Raw genomic sequence first — 14,965 nt, forward strand, 5'->3', positions numbered from 1 at the left:
CTCAGAGGACCAGCTGCAGCCACCTCTTCAAATTCCTTTTGACTCATTCTTGCGTCATCACTGGATGCGTGGTTGAGTCCTTGCTTGGTAGCAGGGGCTAGGGATTCTGTGGTTATTCCGGCCCACTAGGAGTTTACAGTGTCATGGAGACTACCAAATACAGAACTATGCAAACATCTAATTCCATTGTGATGAGGGGTATGATGAGAAGGTTCAGGGCAGCGCGGCAGGGCCCATATGGTTTCAGGGCCAGTGAGGCCATCCATGAGTGTGATGTTTAGGCTGAGAGTAGACACCTGAGTGGCAGGGAATGGACTGTGTCTGTGTGTGTGCAGATGTGTATGTGCTTTTGCTTACCACAGGGCAGGACGCCACATTCCAGATACGTTTGAAAGGACGTCCGACTGCTCGTTCACTTATCTGTCTGGGAACTGCTCCTGGAGCACCACAATGCCAGGCCCAGGCTGGGGCATGAAGCAGTGTGGACTGAAATGGGGAGTGGACGCCAGCGAGTGGTCACTGCCTTCTCTCTGGAGGGAAGGAAGGTAGCAGCTTGGGCAAGAGCGATGGCCAGGAGAGCAGGGAGGCTGAATGGAGAAAGAACGGAGAATGATCAGAAGGTCCTGGGTGCCCCAGGGCCAGAGGCTGATTGAAAGTGCTGGAAGAGGCACAGGGCAGGCCCCAGGGGCCTCTAGTCTCCAGCATGAACAACTGGGAGACCTTGGGGTCCCTTGAAGGAGAGAGGCAGGCACAGAGAAGTGAGTTGTGGGGTCAAGGGGCTGTGAGCTCCTATTCCCGCTTCTCCTGGGGTGAGTGATGGTGGGGAAGCAGGGAGTGCAGCAGAAAGAAGGAGGGGCGCCTCAGAGAACCCCATGTGACTGTTCTGTGGCCCTGATACGACTGTTCTGTGGCTCTGATGTGACTGCTCTGTGGCTCTGATGTGACTCTTCTGTGGCTCTTATGTGTCTGTTCTGTGGCTCTGAAGTGACTCTTCTGCAGCTCCAATGCAACTCTTCTGTGGCCCTGATGTGACTGTTCTGCGGCTCTGATGCGACTGCTCTGTGGCCCCGATATGACTATTCTGCGGCCCTGATGCCACTCTTCTGCAGCTCTATGAGACTGTTCTGCAGCTCTATGAGACTCTTCTGCAGCTCTATGAGACTGTTCTCCAGCTCTATGAGACTGTTCTGTGGCTCTGATGTGACTCTTCTGCAGCTCTGATGTAACTGTTCCGTGGCCCTGATCGACTGTTCTGTGGCACCCACATTCTTCAGAGCCACACTCAGATGGAAGCTTTGCTGTGTGCAGGGGATGAAACCAACTGTCATTCATCCTGCTGGAGGCCAGGATGTCTGCCACACCCCCCGGGGCTGCCCCCTGCCTGTCTTTCCTGAAGACGTTCTCTCTCTGGCCCTGTTCCCAGGGCAGGCTGAAGGACAAAGGACAGGAAGGTAAGGTCCCAGGAGTGACCCCCAGTGTGGAGGATGAGAGTTGTTGGATAAATGTCCCAGCTCCCTCCTCCCTCCATGGGGCAGTTCTGGGGCATGTTCTGCTCAGACCTCAATGCAGTCCCAGTGGGATGAACCGAAGTTCCCTCTGGCAGGGATCCTCTCTCTAGGGTACCTGCACTCCTGCCTTCACTGTGCTTCCTGAGATCACCCCCAAAATCAACTGCTTGCCCCCAAATCTTTGTCATAGGGTTTTCAAGAGAGGGACGTGAAGCAAAGACACTCATGAAAGTTCTTTGTATGTACTATGATTGGCTCTGTCAGTTTAATGGAAAAGTTGGTAATGGTGCATTATTATTATTATTATTATTATTATTTTGAGACAGGGTCTTACTCTGTCACCCACGCTGGAGTGCAGTGGCACAGTATCAGCTCACTGCAACCTCGACCTCCCGGGCCCAAGCAATCCTCCCATCTCAGCCTCCCAAGTAGCTGGGACTACCGGCACATGCCACCACACCTGGCTAATTTTTTTGTACAGACGAGATTTTGCCATGTTTCCCAGGCTGGTCTCAAACTCCTGAGCTCAAGTGATCCACCTGCCCTGGCTTCCCAAAGTGCTGGGATTACAGGTGTGAGCCACTCCACCGGCTGCATAATTTTTTTTAATGAGAAAATATCTTAGGAATAATGCTTGGTGAAACATTTTATTGAGTCATAAAGGTTCTAATTTACTTATTTGGAGCTAGATTTTTCTGACATTTAAAAGCTTGTGTCTCAATTAATTTGCCGTGTAAAAACAACACGTGGCTGCACACTGCCGTCCCACCCAGGTTAGGTATGAGGAGGAGGAGGGGAGCAATCCCGCAGGCATGGATTTGGGGGCGGGGTGACCTTCCTAACATGTTTTAACTTACACCGTGGAGGCACCTTCAGCTGTGCCTGCATCTGAGGTCAATTCCGATTCCCACATCCACCCCGCTACACACACCTCTTCCCTCCATTCCATCCCGCTAGTCTCTCCTGCAGGGTGAGATCTGAAATAAACAGAAATACTGCAGATGTCAGAAAGCAGGTGTCTAAAGCACCCTGCGCTCTTGAGCCTGTGGCAGCTGCAGGTTTTTAAATTGATAGCAGGGGTGAATCAAGAAGGCAGATGCTTTGCTGTGGCCCCACCAAGGGCCAAGGACAAGCGGAGGCTCTGTTCACAGTCACTCTTCCTTCTAAGACTCCAGGTCTGTGATGTAATTACCACCAAAAGCAGAATCAAGCCAAGTTGTCCAATATGACTTAATTAATTATATTTCACCTGTAACAGTGACTAACTGGTCCATACTTGTCGGGCCTGCTCTGGTGGACGGTAGGTCAGTCTCTGCTGGCCCCTTGATGCTCATCTGTGCTGCCTGAGGATGTGACAGCGGCCCATCCCGCTACGGGGCCCAGGTGTGCTGCTTGGGGGAGGCAGCAGGACTCTGAGGACCACAGATTTAAAAAAGCACAATATTTTGGAGCATCTTTTTACCCTTTTGTTATGGAAAGGTTGTCCCATCCCTTGATCCTCCCACAGATCCCTCGTCTCAGTGCTTGGAACTTGCTTGGTTTAAGAAGTCAGAACAGGAGGGCTGTGATAATCACACGCTGATGATTGTGAGGCACAAGGATTGGTGGTGTCTGCCTGAAGGGTGGGGAGGGGAATGTGCGAGCCGCAGGACGCCCACCAACGCCGAGGGGCGAGGCACAGGGAATTCTAACCTCCCAGCAGTGGGTGGTCAGCACGGGATCTACTTTAATACCATGAATAGTGTTTCCAATGACATTAACAGTGACAATGGCAACTAAAAGCACGCTCCGTTTTACAAAGTGCTTCACATCCATGGTTTTGTTTGATCCTGATGATAGCTTGTGAGTGAGGTTTTCTTTATAAAGCCTCATTTCACCCAGGAGGAAGCTGGGGCTCAGAGAAGCTAAGTGCGGCCCTACCAGCCAGTAAAGGATAGTGCCGGGGCCCAGGGGACCTTCCGAGCCTCGTGGCTGGGCTCTGGCTGGGTTTGGTGACAATGGCTCTTTCTCTGGACAGTTGTGGGTGCACAGGAAGGTGGCCCCGTGGGCCTGGCTGCAGCAGCTCCATCTGTGAGTTCCCGTCCAGTCCCCAAGAGCCAAGGGCATCACTTGTCAGACGACCGACCGAGAGCCACGTGAAACCGTGGGCCTTCGCTGGTGTCCCTTTAGAAGCTCGAAGATATCCCGCATGTCTCACAGTTTTGGCCTGAGGCTTCCAGCCCACCTCACGTATCCCATTCCACGCTCCTCACCACCCAGCCTGCCTCAGCTCGGTGTCTTCTGGGCTCCTCATTCCAGCCTCGGGGCACCTCCCTGCAGCCCCATGCCTGCCTCCTGTTCATTGTGGCTTTGAGCCCCCAGAATGGGTTTCTTTGGGAGCTGGTGGTCTCCAGCATTGGAGGTAAATCCTGCAGAAGTTGGACCCCCAACTTCCATCATCAGATGGACTCGACGTAGCTGTTTATATCTTCAGCTGGGCAGCCACAGCATGGGTTTGGTTGAAGGGAGAAGAGAGAAATTGATTTCAAAAGTTGATAATTAAATGTGTATGATTTTCTTATTTTTCTCTTTCTAACTTTAAGAGGATCTTCTTGGTCACAGATCCTGGGCTATTTTATTTTATTTTACTTTATTTTTGAAGCAGAGTCTCGCTCTGTCGCCTAGGCTGGAGTACAGTGGCATGATCTTGGTTCACTGCAACCTCAGCCTCCTGAGTTCTAGTGATTCTCGTGCCTCAGCCTCCTGAGTAGCTGGGATTACGTGTGCCCGCCATCACGCCTGGCTAATTTTTTGTATTTTTAGTAGAGATGGCTTTTCACCATGTTGGCCAGGCTGGTCTTGAACTCCTGACCTCAAGTGATCCACCTGCCTTGGCTTCCCAAAGTGCAGGGATGACAGGTGTGAGCCACATCCTGGACTTGACATGAACACTAAGCCCAACCCTCCTCTGGCCCAGTCACCGGCTTTCACTTGTCCTCATGGGCCATCTCCCGCACCTCAGCCCTACCCGACCTGCTCCTCTGGTTCTGTTTAGTCTTGTCTGGGCCTCTGTCAGCCAGTGGCCACCAGAGGAGGTGAAGGCTGGGTCACACAGACTCCCTCCTCCCCATTGTCCCTGAGCCTCTCAGGCAGACCTGTTTTAGGGCTTGGGGGGTGTGGAGGTCTCCCTGGGGGCTGGCTAGGATGAGCCCAGGGAGGTGGCTGGGGATGGAGTGAAGGATGGACCCTGTAGAAGCAGATCCTCAGTCCTGACCATGCCCTCCTCCAGGACCCTGAACAGCTAGGCCGGGCACATGCCAGCGCCTTCCACTCTTCCTGCCTCTCGTCTCCTGAGGCTGTGTGGGTGGGGGTGGATGGGGCATTAGTACAAATTTTCCCACCTTCAGACTTTCAAGAGCCATGATTCCCATGTTTGTTTGTTTTTTGAGACAGATTCTTGTTCTGTCACCCGGACAGGAGTGCCGTAGCTCAATTTTTTGTTTTTTGTTCTGTTTTTTTTTTTTTTTTTTGCTTTTTTTTTTTTTTTAGTAGAGATGGGGTTTCACTATGTTGGCCAGTCTGGTCTGGAATTCCTGACTTCAGGTGATCCACCCGTCTCAGCCTCCCGAAGTGCTGGGATTACAGGTATGAGCCACCCCACCCCACCAAATCTCATGTTTTTACTGCCCTTCCCTTCCCAGATCACTGGAAGCCCATCTTGGGATAGTCCCCTTCCCTTCCTGTCCTACTTAGAACAGCTACATTCCAATGGTCCCTTGTAGTTGGCTGCGTGTCCTGGTGTCTGTCAGGGCACAGAATGCAGCTGAGGCACCTTGAGTCTGAAAAGTTGGAAGGACGGAGAATTCAAAATTGGCTTTGAGTTGAAAATGGAATTCAAATACAGTCAGCTCTTCTTGAGTATTGGAATTAGTGGTAGAGGGTGTATTGGAGGTACAGTAATGATGTGTGTTTGAATGTCACCCCTCCACTCCGTCCCAGTGGTTCTGTATGTCTAACTCTATCTGACTTAAGCTCATATGACCCATATTACCCTCCCCAGACAACCCCCAAGAGGGTGTGCATGGGCGAGGGGAGGTGGGGGGGGTTGCTGGCTGCTCAAGAGCGACATGGAGGACCAGGGCCGCACAAGCTCATTTGGAAGCAGATGGGGACAGTTACCTCTAACAGCTTCATGACTGAATGACACCACAACCACTGGTGTCCTTGGCCATCAGAAATCCCTTTCCCCAAGGGAGTGGGGAAGCTGCTACGTGAGCTAGCTACATAATATCAACTAGAATTAGAGGCGCTTGCTTTCCATGTTGAACTTAATCATAGTTTGTTATTACTTCCCATCCCCGCCTGGCTTAGTTTGTTCATTGTGCCCCTATAAAGAGTGCTGAGGCTGGGTAATTTATATATACATATATGTATGTACGTATGTGTATGTATACATGTATAGTTTATTTGGCTCATGATTCCAGATGGCTGCAAAAGTCCATGGTTGGGCGTCTGCATCTGGGGAGGGCCTCAGGCTGCTTCCACTTATGGGGGAGGGCAAAGGGGAGCTGGGTGTGCAGAGACCACAGGGCGAGAGGGACCCAGCGGGAAGGAGGGGAAGTGCCAGGTCCTTTTCAGCAACCAGCTTTCTTGGGAACTAATAGAGTGAGAACCCACTCAGCCTTAGGGAGGGGCGTTAGTCCATTTATGAGGAATCTCCCCTCCTTATCCAAATGCTTTCCATTAGGCTCCACCTCCAACACGGAGACCACATTTTTTTTTTCTCAAATTTCTTTTTTCACTGCAGCCTCAACCTCCCAGGCTCAGGTGATCCTCCCACCTCAGCCTCCTTAGTAGCTGGAACTACAGGTGCCCTCCACCATGTCTGGTTAATTTCTATACTTTTTTGTAGAGGGAGGTCTTGCTATGTAGCCCAGTCTGGTCTTGAACTCCTGGGCTCAAGCAATCCACTCACGTTGGCCCCCCAAAGTGCTGGGATTACAGGCATGAGCCACCACACCCGGCCTAGGAGACCAAATTTCAGCATGAGTTTGGAGGGGACAAATATCCAAACCATAGTCCTTGTTTCTTAAAGGATCTGGACCTGGCAGGTGATCTGGCAGGTGACTTTAGGTCACTATGGGAGTCCTTTAACTTTTACACAACTGCAATCTCCACGTCCACCTCTGCTTAAATCACACGGAGGCCGGCTGCCCAGCAAGTTTGAGAGCAGCACTTTATGAGTTTTCTGCTGATCATTCCCCTAAAGTGAAGTGCAGCCAGCCAAGGTAGTTATTCAAAACCTCGCTCAGTGCCCACTTGGCTTCCTCTGCCCAAGACAAGATGGCTTGCTCAGGAAGAAACACCTGCATCCCCAGTGGCAGCATTGTTGCAGGGCAAGGAGCAGCATCCACGACTCTTGTCCTTTCTCTGTGTCTCTAAATGCAAAGGCCAAACATGGGACATTTCAACAGATTCAAGCCAAGGAGAGGGTGGGAGAATCATAGTCTTTAAAATTTGTTTTGGCCGGGTACAGTGGCTCAGGCCTGTAATCCCAGCATTTTGGGAGGCTGAGGCGGGCGGGTCACAAGGTTAGGAGTTCGAGACCAGTCTGGCCAACATAGTGAAACCCTGTCTGTACTAAAAATACAAAAATTAGCTGGGTGTGGTGGCACACACCTGTAGTCCCAGCTACTTGGGAGGCTGAGGCAGGAGAATCGCTTGAACCCAGGAGGTAGAGGTTGCAGCCAAGATCGTGCCATTGCACAGAGCAAGACTCTGTCTCAAAAAAAAATTGTTTTTAAAACAATAAGGCAGGATTTAGACATTGGTAACTGACTATCCCATGTTTATTTGAAGTACCATGGAATTTTAGTGGCAGTATTTATTCAAAACCTGTCTCAGTGTGAAAAAAATATTTGGTTTCCCAGAGACTGTGCTGGGGGAGGAAGAATTCCGGGAAGCCACAATTGGGCTTAAGCATCTCTAGTCCAAACAGTTGGGGAGCCATCGGTTTCCATGTCTGTCGGGTAATTGAATGACATCATTGGGCTGAATCCGGGGTGACTGTGCGGCAGGGGGCTTTCGGCTTCGAGGGAGAGAGTCTCACCATTTCTTACCTATAGGAAAAATACCCATTGCGCATCTGAGAATTTAGAGGGTAAGTAATGCCCAACACCAAGCTAGAATATTAGGCCTTGGGGAAATTTATTTTGGCTGAATGGGATTTATTTTAAGATTCTGAAGTCATTACCACTGCACTTTATTTTCTGAGTAATGTGCCTGTCTTGTAGACTCTCGGGAGGAAATGCTTCACTCCAGCTTTATTTAGGTCATTACCACAAGGCCAAAGCAAAGACCACGTGTGAGGTCACTGACTGGCTGCTGCCAAGGGCAGGTTTATGACCGTGTAGTGGATGCCTTCCCGGCAGCCCCGCCACCAGGCTGGCTGATGCACATGCCCAGCTCCCGCACGATGCTTTTTAGCCTACAAGGTGCTGGGCTGTTAAGGGGCGGAGGTTCGGGGAACAGGGGCTACGCCAACGCACAGGTAGATAGGGGCTGGTCTGCTTCCCCTGGGGCTTCAGGAAAACATTTGAATGTTTCTTTCTTCCCCAGTAACAATGAGCAGGTTGCTCGGACCACTTGCCGGGGGCGTCTAACCGACCTCTTCTACGCCAGGCATATTAGCCGCTTGTCACGGGTCAGTGACAGATGGAGTGGACGGTAGTAGGAATCTGTATCGGAAATCTGTGTCCGACCTTCCTTTACTGCTTCCTGGGCTTAAAAACCTTGATTAAAATGTTTGTCTCCTGGCTGGGTGCAGTGGCTCTCTAATCCTAGCATTTTGGGAGACTGAGGCAGGAGGATTGCTGGAGCCCAGGAGTTCGAGACCAGCCTAGGAAACAAGGCAGAAACCCCATCTCTACAAAAATAAAAATAAATTAGCCAGGTGTGGTGGCCTACATCTGTAGCCCAGTTCCTTGAGAAGCTGAGATGGGAAGATCACTGGATCCTCCCACCTGGTTAAGCCCAACCAGGAGGTTGAGGCTGCAGTGAGCTATGATTGCACAACTGCACTCCAGCCTGGGTGACAGAGCAAGACTCTGTCTCAAAAAAAAAAACAAAAACAAAAACAAAAAAAGGGCTTCTTTTTTTCCCCCCCTCATAAAAGGCATATCCTACACCAAGTTTTCCTCAAATATGAATAGGCCCAAGAACCACCTGTAGATCTTGTAGAGCTGCAGATTCGGATTCAGTAAGTCTGGGACAGGGCATAGGAGTCTCGCAAGCTCCCAGGTGACACTGATGTTGCTGGTCTGGGGCCACACTTTGAACAGCCGGGCCCCAAGCCTCTCTCGACTCCAGGAGACATCCAGGGCTGGCTTGCTCATTGCTTCTCCTTAGCATGGTGCGGTGCCCACTCTGGGTGCCGGGGTCCACGTCCCCATCATTATTATGGTCAGCATATAGCTGTGACCTTTCTGACATCAATGTGGATGTGCGATAAGTCCATGTTTGCGGGAACCTAAGGAAAGACCCACTTACTCATCATCTATGAAGGTGTGGGTAGGAGACAAGAGAGCCGTGCAGAGAAACGAGAGTCAGGAAGAGAATGAGGAGCTCTGGGCATGGAGATGGACACCAGGGACCAGTGGGGAAGCTGAACGGGGCCTGGGCCTCTGCAAAGAGACCTGGCGGGGAGGGGGCAGAAGTAGGGTGCTCACCTGTTGGCATGTCCAGGGCGGGGTGGTGGCAGATTCAGGCTGAAGTTCAGGCTGAGCCCTGGAGACCCAGGCAGAGTTGACCCTGCCTCCTGGGGACCAAGGAGCCTTCAGTGAACTGTCACCCCCTACTGCAGAGCCCAGGACGTGCAGACAACATGTTTTGAATGAATGGAGTGGAAGTCAGGTACAAATATGAGACAAGGGCCTGATGCTGTGTGTAATGCTGGGTCAGACCCGTGGGCAGGTGAGCAGTGCTTGCTTAGAGGGGACCTTGGGCCTGGTTTCCCTTGCTCTGTGGTCCTGCTTCTGAGCTGAGTAGCTGTGGACCTATCGTGGGGAGGAGGAACTCAGAATATGCCCAGCTCAGAGTCTGGGTCTTAGAAGAGAGAAACTGGGGGCGTGGTGCAAGCCCTGAGGGCATTCAGCTGTGTGGTCCAGGGGAAACCACCATAGCTTTGGGGGGTCAGACTGTGAGGCTCAGAACCAGGCAGCCGGCCCCGCCCGTGTGTTCTACTCCACACACGCCGTGTGAGTTGCTGTTCATGTGGTCCAGGGCACTGCCTCACCCTGAGCATTTCATCCACTGGACACTGGGTATTTCTCATCGCAGAGGAGCCTGCACAGGCTACAGAGCACGACCAGACTGAGAGCTCTGAGAGGGGCCCTGGAGGAAAGAATTTGCAGCATGATGTGCCCAGTCCTTAGACCCTCTGTCCCCAGGTGTGTGGCCTGCAGCATACCTGTGCATTCTGTGGGTCACCGATGTCTCCAAGAAGGGAGCATTTTCTCCGGAACCCAGCAAGGAGCAGCTGATGAAGGCCTGCTGACTGCTTTTGGCTTTGCGAGTGCTCTTGAAACCCGTGTACTCCCCAGGAGCTCTGGGCAGCTGCTTCGGCTGCAAGAAGCCTTCACTCACAGATATGGATGCGTCCCAGGGCACCTCACTCCTGCCTTTATTCTTCCAGCCACACGCCAGGGGTCCCCAGGCCACCTCCACTGAGATTAGGCAGTGTGTTTCTATCATGATTCACACATTAGCCATTGTGATATACAATTTTAGCCTTAGAAAAAAGTTGCAAGAATAGTACAAAGAAACGTTTGTACACTTCAACCAATTCATTAATTGTGAGCATTTTGTCTCATTTGCTTAATATCCTCTCTCTAGTATAATCTCTATGTATATATCTTTTCTTACATGTATATAGTATCATCTCTGTCCATGTACATATCTTTTCATATATATGTGTGTATATATGTGCATATACATAGATGTGTATGCAAATATATGTGTGTATGTATGTGTGTATGTGTGTATGTAAATATATGTGTGTGTGTATATATGTGCATATACATATGTGTGTGTAAATATATGTGTATGTATATGTGTGTTTATATGTGCGGATACATATGTGTATGTAAATATATGTATGTATATGTATGTTTGTATATATGTACACACACATAGATTTTAGGGCAAGAACTATTTAAAGAGGTTGTGGACATCAGGTTTCTTTTCCCAAGTGCTTTGGTGTGTATTGCTAGGAATAGTCATTCTCTTATATCACTGACATTGTTATATCCTACCCTTGAACCCATCATCCTTATTCAAATAGAATGCCCTTTGCAACCACGTTTTTTCCGGTTTAGGATCTTTTCTCAAATTCATGCTGTATTTGCCTTCATGATCTTGATGATACTGAGGGAAGGATTATTTTCATTTTCTTTAGTAAAGAAAGTGCAAAACTAGAACCAACAACATCAAAGTCGCTTTTATTGAAAGGCTTGGAATCCACATCGATGGATCCTTCCCATCGATCAGCAAAATCCAAAAACCTATCTGCTGGGTGGATCTCCGCATGTGGCTGACCTCCAGGGAGCAGGTGGGCACGGTGGCCTGTTTTCAGGTTTGCAGTGTATGAGGCGACACCATCTGGATACTGGCCTCCTCCGAGTCTGTCTGACCGAGAAGGCAGCCCCTGGTTCTCCAGTCTTGACTCTGGTTTCAGATGCTGCTCTTGGATTAAAAAGCAGATTTCTGGCCACGCTCTTTGATCACAAATTTAATTACAAAATTTGCTCTAACCCCAAAGGAATGAAAACTTACCAGCTAAATGAAAGCTGCAAGTTGCTAGATTTTGACTTGATCAGCCTGTCTTTCTGTAACCAAATAATCATTCTTTGTCCCGATGCGATGTTGGTCACCCTCAACATCAAAGCCCTTTTGTGGGACGCCTTTATCTCTCTGAGGGCCTGTGTGGTGCAGATAAGGGGAGTGAGAGGAGATGATGTGATCGCCCTTGGCCCTACTCTTATATCCGGAGCCAGCGGTGGGACTTAGACCGCAGCATCCTGACCTGACTTCCAGGCTCTGCTTCCAGCGGGAGAGCTTCTCCAGCAGGCTGAAGACACATGCAAAATTAAGATACACTTTCAGGCTGGCTTTTATGATAAAAACCCCAACTTAAAATTTTTTTCCATAAGTTACTGGGGGGCAGGTGGTATTTGGTTACAAGAGTAAGTTCTTTAGTGGTGCTTTGTAAGACTTCGGAGCATCCATCACCCATGCAGTATATACTGCACCATATTTGTAGTATTTTATCCCTCGCCCCCCTCCAACTCTTCCCCCTAAGTCCCCAAAGGCCATTGTATCATTCTTATGCCTTTGCGTCCTCATAGCTTAGCTCCCACGTATCAGTGAGAACATATGATCTTCGGTTTTCCATTCCTGAGTTACATTACATAGAATAATAGTCTCCAATCTCATCCAGGTCACTGCAAATGCTGTTAATTCATTTCTTTTTATGGCTGCATAGTATTCCATCATTGTATTATGAAAATTTTCAAACACACAGAAAAGTGGAAACAATTGTAAAGTAGACACTCTAGGTTCTACAGTTAATATTTGCGGTACTTTATCACACATCTACCCACCCGTTTATCTCTCATCCATCAACCCTTGGCATCTTGTGTTTAATGCATTTCAAAGTAACTTGCGGACCTCCATTTGTTTCCCTAAATATTTCACCTGGCGTATCATTAATTAGAGCTTCATATTTGTTTACAGTCCTTTTTTGAGGTAAGATTTAGATACAGTGTTATGTGCAAATGCTAAGTGTACATTCATTGAGTTCCAACAAGTGCATAAACTTCTTTCAAGGCTTAGAACATCCCCAGAACCCTAGAAGTTTCTCTAATGCCCTTTCCAAGCAATACCCCCTTCAATCTTCAGAAGCAAGCACTGCTCTTATTTTTTCTTCACCACAGATTTGTTTTGCCTGTTCTAGAACTTTATAGAAATGAAGTCATGTCGTATGTAGTCAGTTCTGTCTGGCTCCTTCCGTTCAGTGTGTTTTGTGCTATATTCATGTCATTTGTGACGTGCTGAGGATTCATTTCTTTTTGTTAGTGAGTAGTATTCCATTTTAAGAAGATATAATTTGTTTTTACATTCTCCTCTTAATGGGCTGTTTCTGGGTTTTGGCTATGATTCATAAAACTGGTGTGAACAAATATTTTTGTGGACATAAATTTTCCTTTATCTTGAGTAAATATCGGATTGAAATGGTTGGGTCTGGGGTAGGTGTATTTTCGGTTTTATAAGAGACTTCCAGGCCCTTTTCCAGATGGTTGCACCACTTTACATCCACCAGCAATGCTTGTGCGTTCCAGTTGCTCCACAGCAGCACCACTAAAGTCTTTTTAAAATGTTAGCGATTCCCGAGTGCAGCATGTATAACCTTCCAAAAAATTCAACATCATCTTCCGCTGTGTTTCCATCCATCTGAAGCCTGTTAGAATTTATCCAAATCCAAATCAGTAAACCCAGAGTCAGTTCTCCAAAAATTGTGTGGAAAATCTAAAATTTATCTTTACTACTGCTGGCTGCCCCCTCTTGGCACTTCTGTGCTCTTAGGCACCAGGAATTTGGTAACCTGGTTTCTCATCTCTTCCATTGTTTTGTTTTGTTGGAGAGAGAGTCTCACTCTGTCACCCAGGCTGGAGTGCAGTGGTGCCATCATAGCTCACTGCAGCCTCAACCTCCTGGGCTCAGGTGATCCGTCCACCTCAGCTTCTCAAGTAGCTGGGACTTCAGGTGCACGCCACCGCACTCAACTAATTAATTTTTTTTTTTTTTTTGTATTTTTTTCTACAGATGAGGTTTCATCATGTTCCCCAGGCTGGTCTCATACTCCTGAGTTCAAGCAATCCACCTGCCTTGGCCACCCAAAGTGCTGGGATTACAGGTGTGAGCTACTGCGTCTAGCCCTCTTCCATCGTTTTCAAGGAGGGATCAGGGGTCAGCTGTTCGCAACTTGGTACGAATGAGTTTGTCATTGGATCACCTCCCTTGGGAGGAAGTCTTGCCCTGGGGATGTAGGAACAAGAACTAACATGCTCAGTGCCTCCTAACAGCCCCACTTTACCTAGTGTGTCAATTCCCCACAGACAAGTAAACTGAGGCCCAGGAAGCATCGTTGCCTGAGGTTGCCGAGTTGATAAGCAAAGGTCTCAGTCCCTGTGGACTCAGAGCCTGGGCTTCTCCCCTGGGACCCTGCAGCTCCACCGGCAGTTATTCCAATTCTTCCTCAGGTGTTGGAGGCTTGTATGGAAACTCCTTGCTTCTGTCTCTCGCTCAGCCCTTAGAAAACCTCCAAGAGATGGCCACTCCTGCCTGTGGTGCAGAGAACGCCCAGGCAGAAGACCCTTGGAGGCTCAGACAGAGAACTCACTGCACTTTCAGTCATCCTGGGCTGGCTCCCCGGCCCCTCTCACGTTCTTTATGGATTTGACCCAAAGTCTTCCAGATGGATGGAGCTGTGGGCACTGAGTCTGGGAATGTCTCAGCCCACCTTGGCTCCCTTCTCCAGCAGGAGTGGAGGTGTGTGATGTCAAACAGGCCCAGCCTCTCTCTCAGACCCGGTTCTGGGCCCACACAGCCCCTTCTTCCTGAAAGCAGAGGTGGCAGTAAGAGGATGGCTTTGGCCTTTGAATGTTCTCAAGCGATCCAAGTTCAGAGTATACTGTTGCTGTCCTCTGTCCCTGAAGCTTCTCTCCTACTCCTTGGACAAACTCACTTCTCCCCTCAGGGACTTCTCTCATGTAGCAGAGTGTACACCTGCTGCCCCAGCAAGGCCTTCACAATGATCCAAGCCTGGCCTGTTGCTCCAGCTTCTGGAACCTCCCATGGCCTTCGGTCTACTTGAATGCTCCTGAGGCCAGGTAGCTCATCACTGCCGGAGGACCTGTTGCCACTCACTTCTAGCCACAAGAAATGTCTGCCTGTCCTGAGCAAAACCCACCTTGGAGGAACTTCTTTACTCCCTTGTTGAATTTTTGGCTCTACCAAATAAACATGAATTGCTTCCCTGTGAAAGACCTCCAAACACTTTCCTCTGCCTGTGTGTTGTTCATCAGTGGTGTAGCCGAATCCAGGGCGAGGAGGACCTGCATTTTAGCTGGTGTTAACCAGAGTGGAGGGAGGATTAGGAGTGGCCTTTGGGTGGACAGGAGGTATGACAGGCTGCAGATGGTGGAGCAAGCCTTGCTGTGCCCCCGACCCAGCTCGACATGCACACGTGGGTGGTTCTGGCTCCCTGGGTGGGAAGAATGGTGGGGTGGGTGGGCATTGTGAGCCTGGCAACCAGACCCCACGGAATAGCAGGGAGGAGGAGGAAGGAGGACGCCCTCCAAGAAACAGTGGAGTGAAACCTTAGTGCCTACTTCACAGCCCATCTGGGGTCTCTCCCTGCT

At 49.5% G+C, this 14,965-nt stretch overlaps 1 long non-coding RNA gene across 1 annotated transcript, besides 2 other annotated features; it reads left to right on the top strand.

Moving 5' to 3' along the window:
- Positions 128-14,598, top strand: LOC107985502 (uncharacterized). Its single transcript, XR_001755063.3, has 2 exons — positions 128-1,451; positions 13,368-14,598. It is a non-coding gene; the product is annotated as an uncharacterized LOC107985502 (long non-coding RNA).
- Positions 471-974: an enhancer, noted in NCBI's record as "H3K4me1 hESC enhancer chr21:43461111-43461614 (GRCh37/hg19 assembly coordinates)". NCBI's record gives its function as "activates a minimal SCP1, AML or CMV promoter by ChIP-STARR-seq in primed H9 embryonic stem cells {active_cell/tissue: H9 hESC(primed)}" and the evidence as "EXISTENCE:reporter gene assay evidence [ECO:0000049][PMID:30033119]".
- Positions 3,357-3,856: an enhancer, noted in NCBI's record as "H3K4me1 hESC enhancer chr21:43463997-43464496 (GRCh37/hg19 assembly coordinates)". NCBI's record gives its function as "activates a minimal SCP1, AML or CMV promoter by ChIP-STARR-seq in primed H9 embryonic stem cells {active_cell/tissue: H9 hESC(primed)}" and the evidence as "EXISTENCE:reporter gene assay evidence [ECO:0000049][PMID:30033119]".
- Positions 14,599-14,965: the final 367 nt, after the last annotated feature.

This window comes from Homo sapiens, chromosome 21, assembly GCF_000001405.40.
Source record: "Homo sapiens chromosome 21, GRCh38.p14 Primary Assembly".
In the NCBI taxonomy this organism is placed as follows: domain Eukaryota; kingdom Metazoa; phylum Chordata; class Mammalia; order Primates; family Hominidae; genus Homo; species Homo sapiens.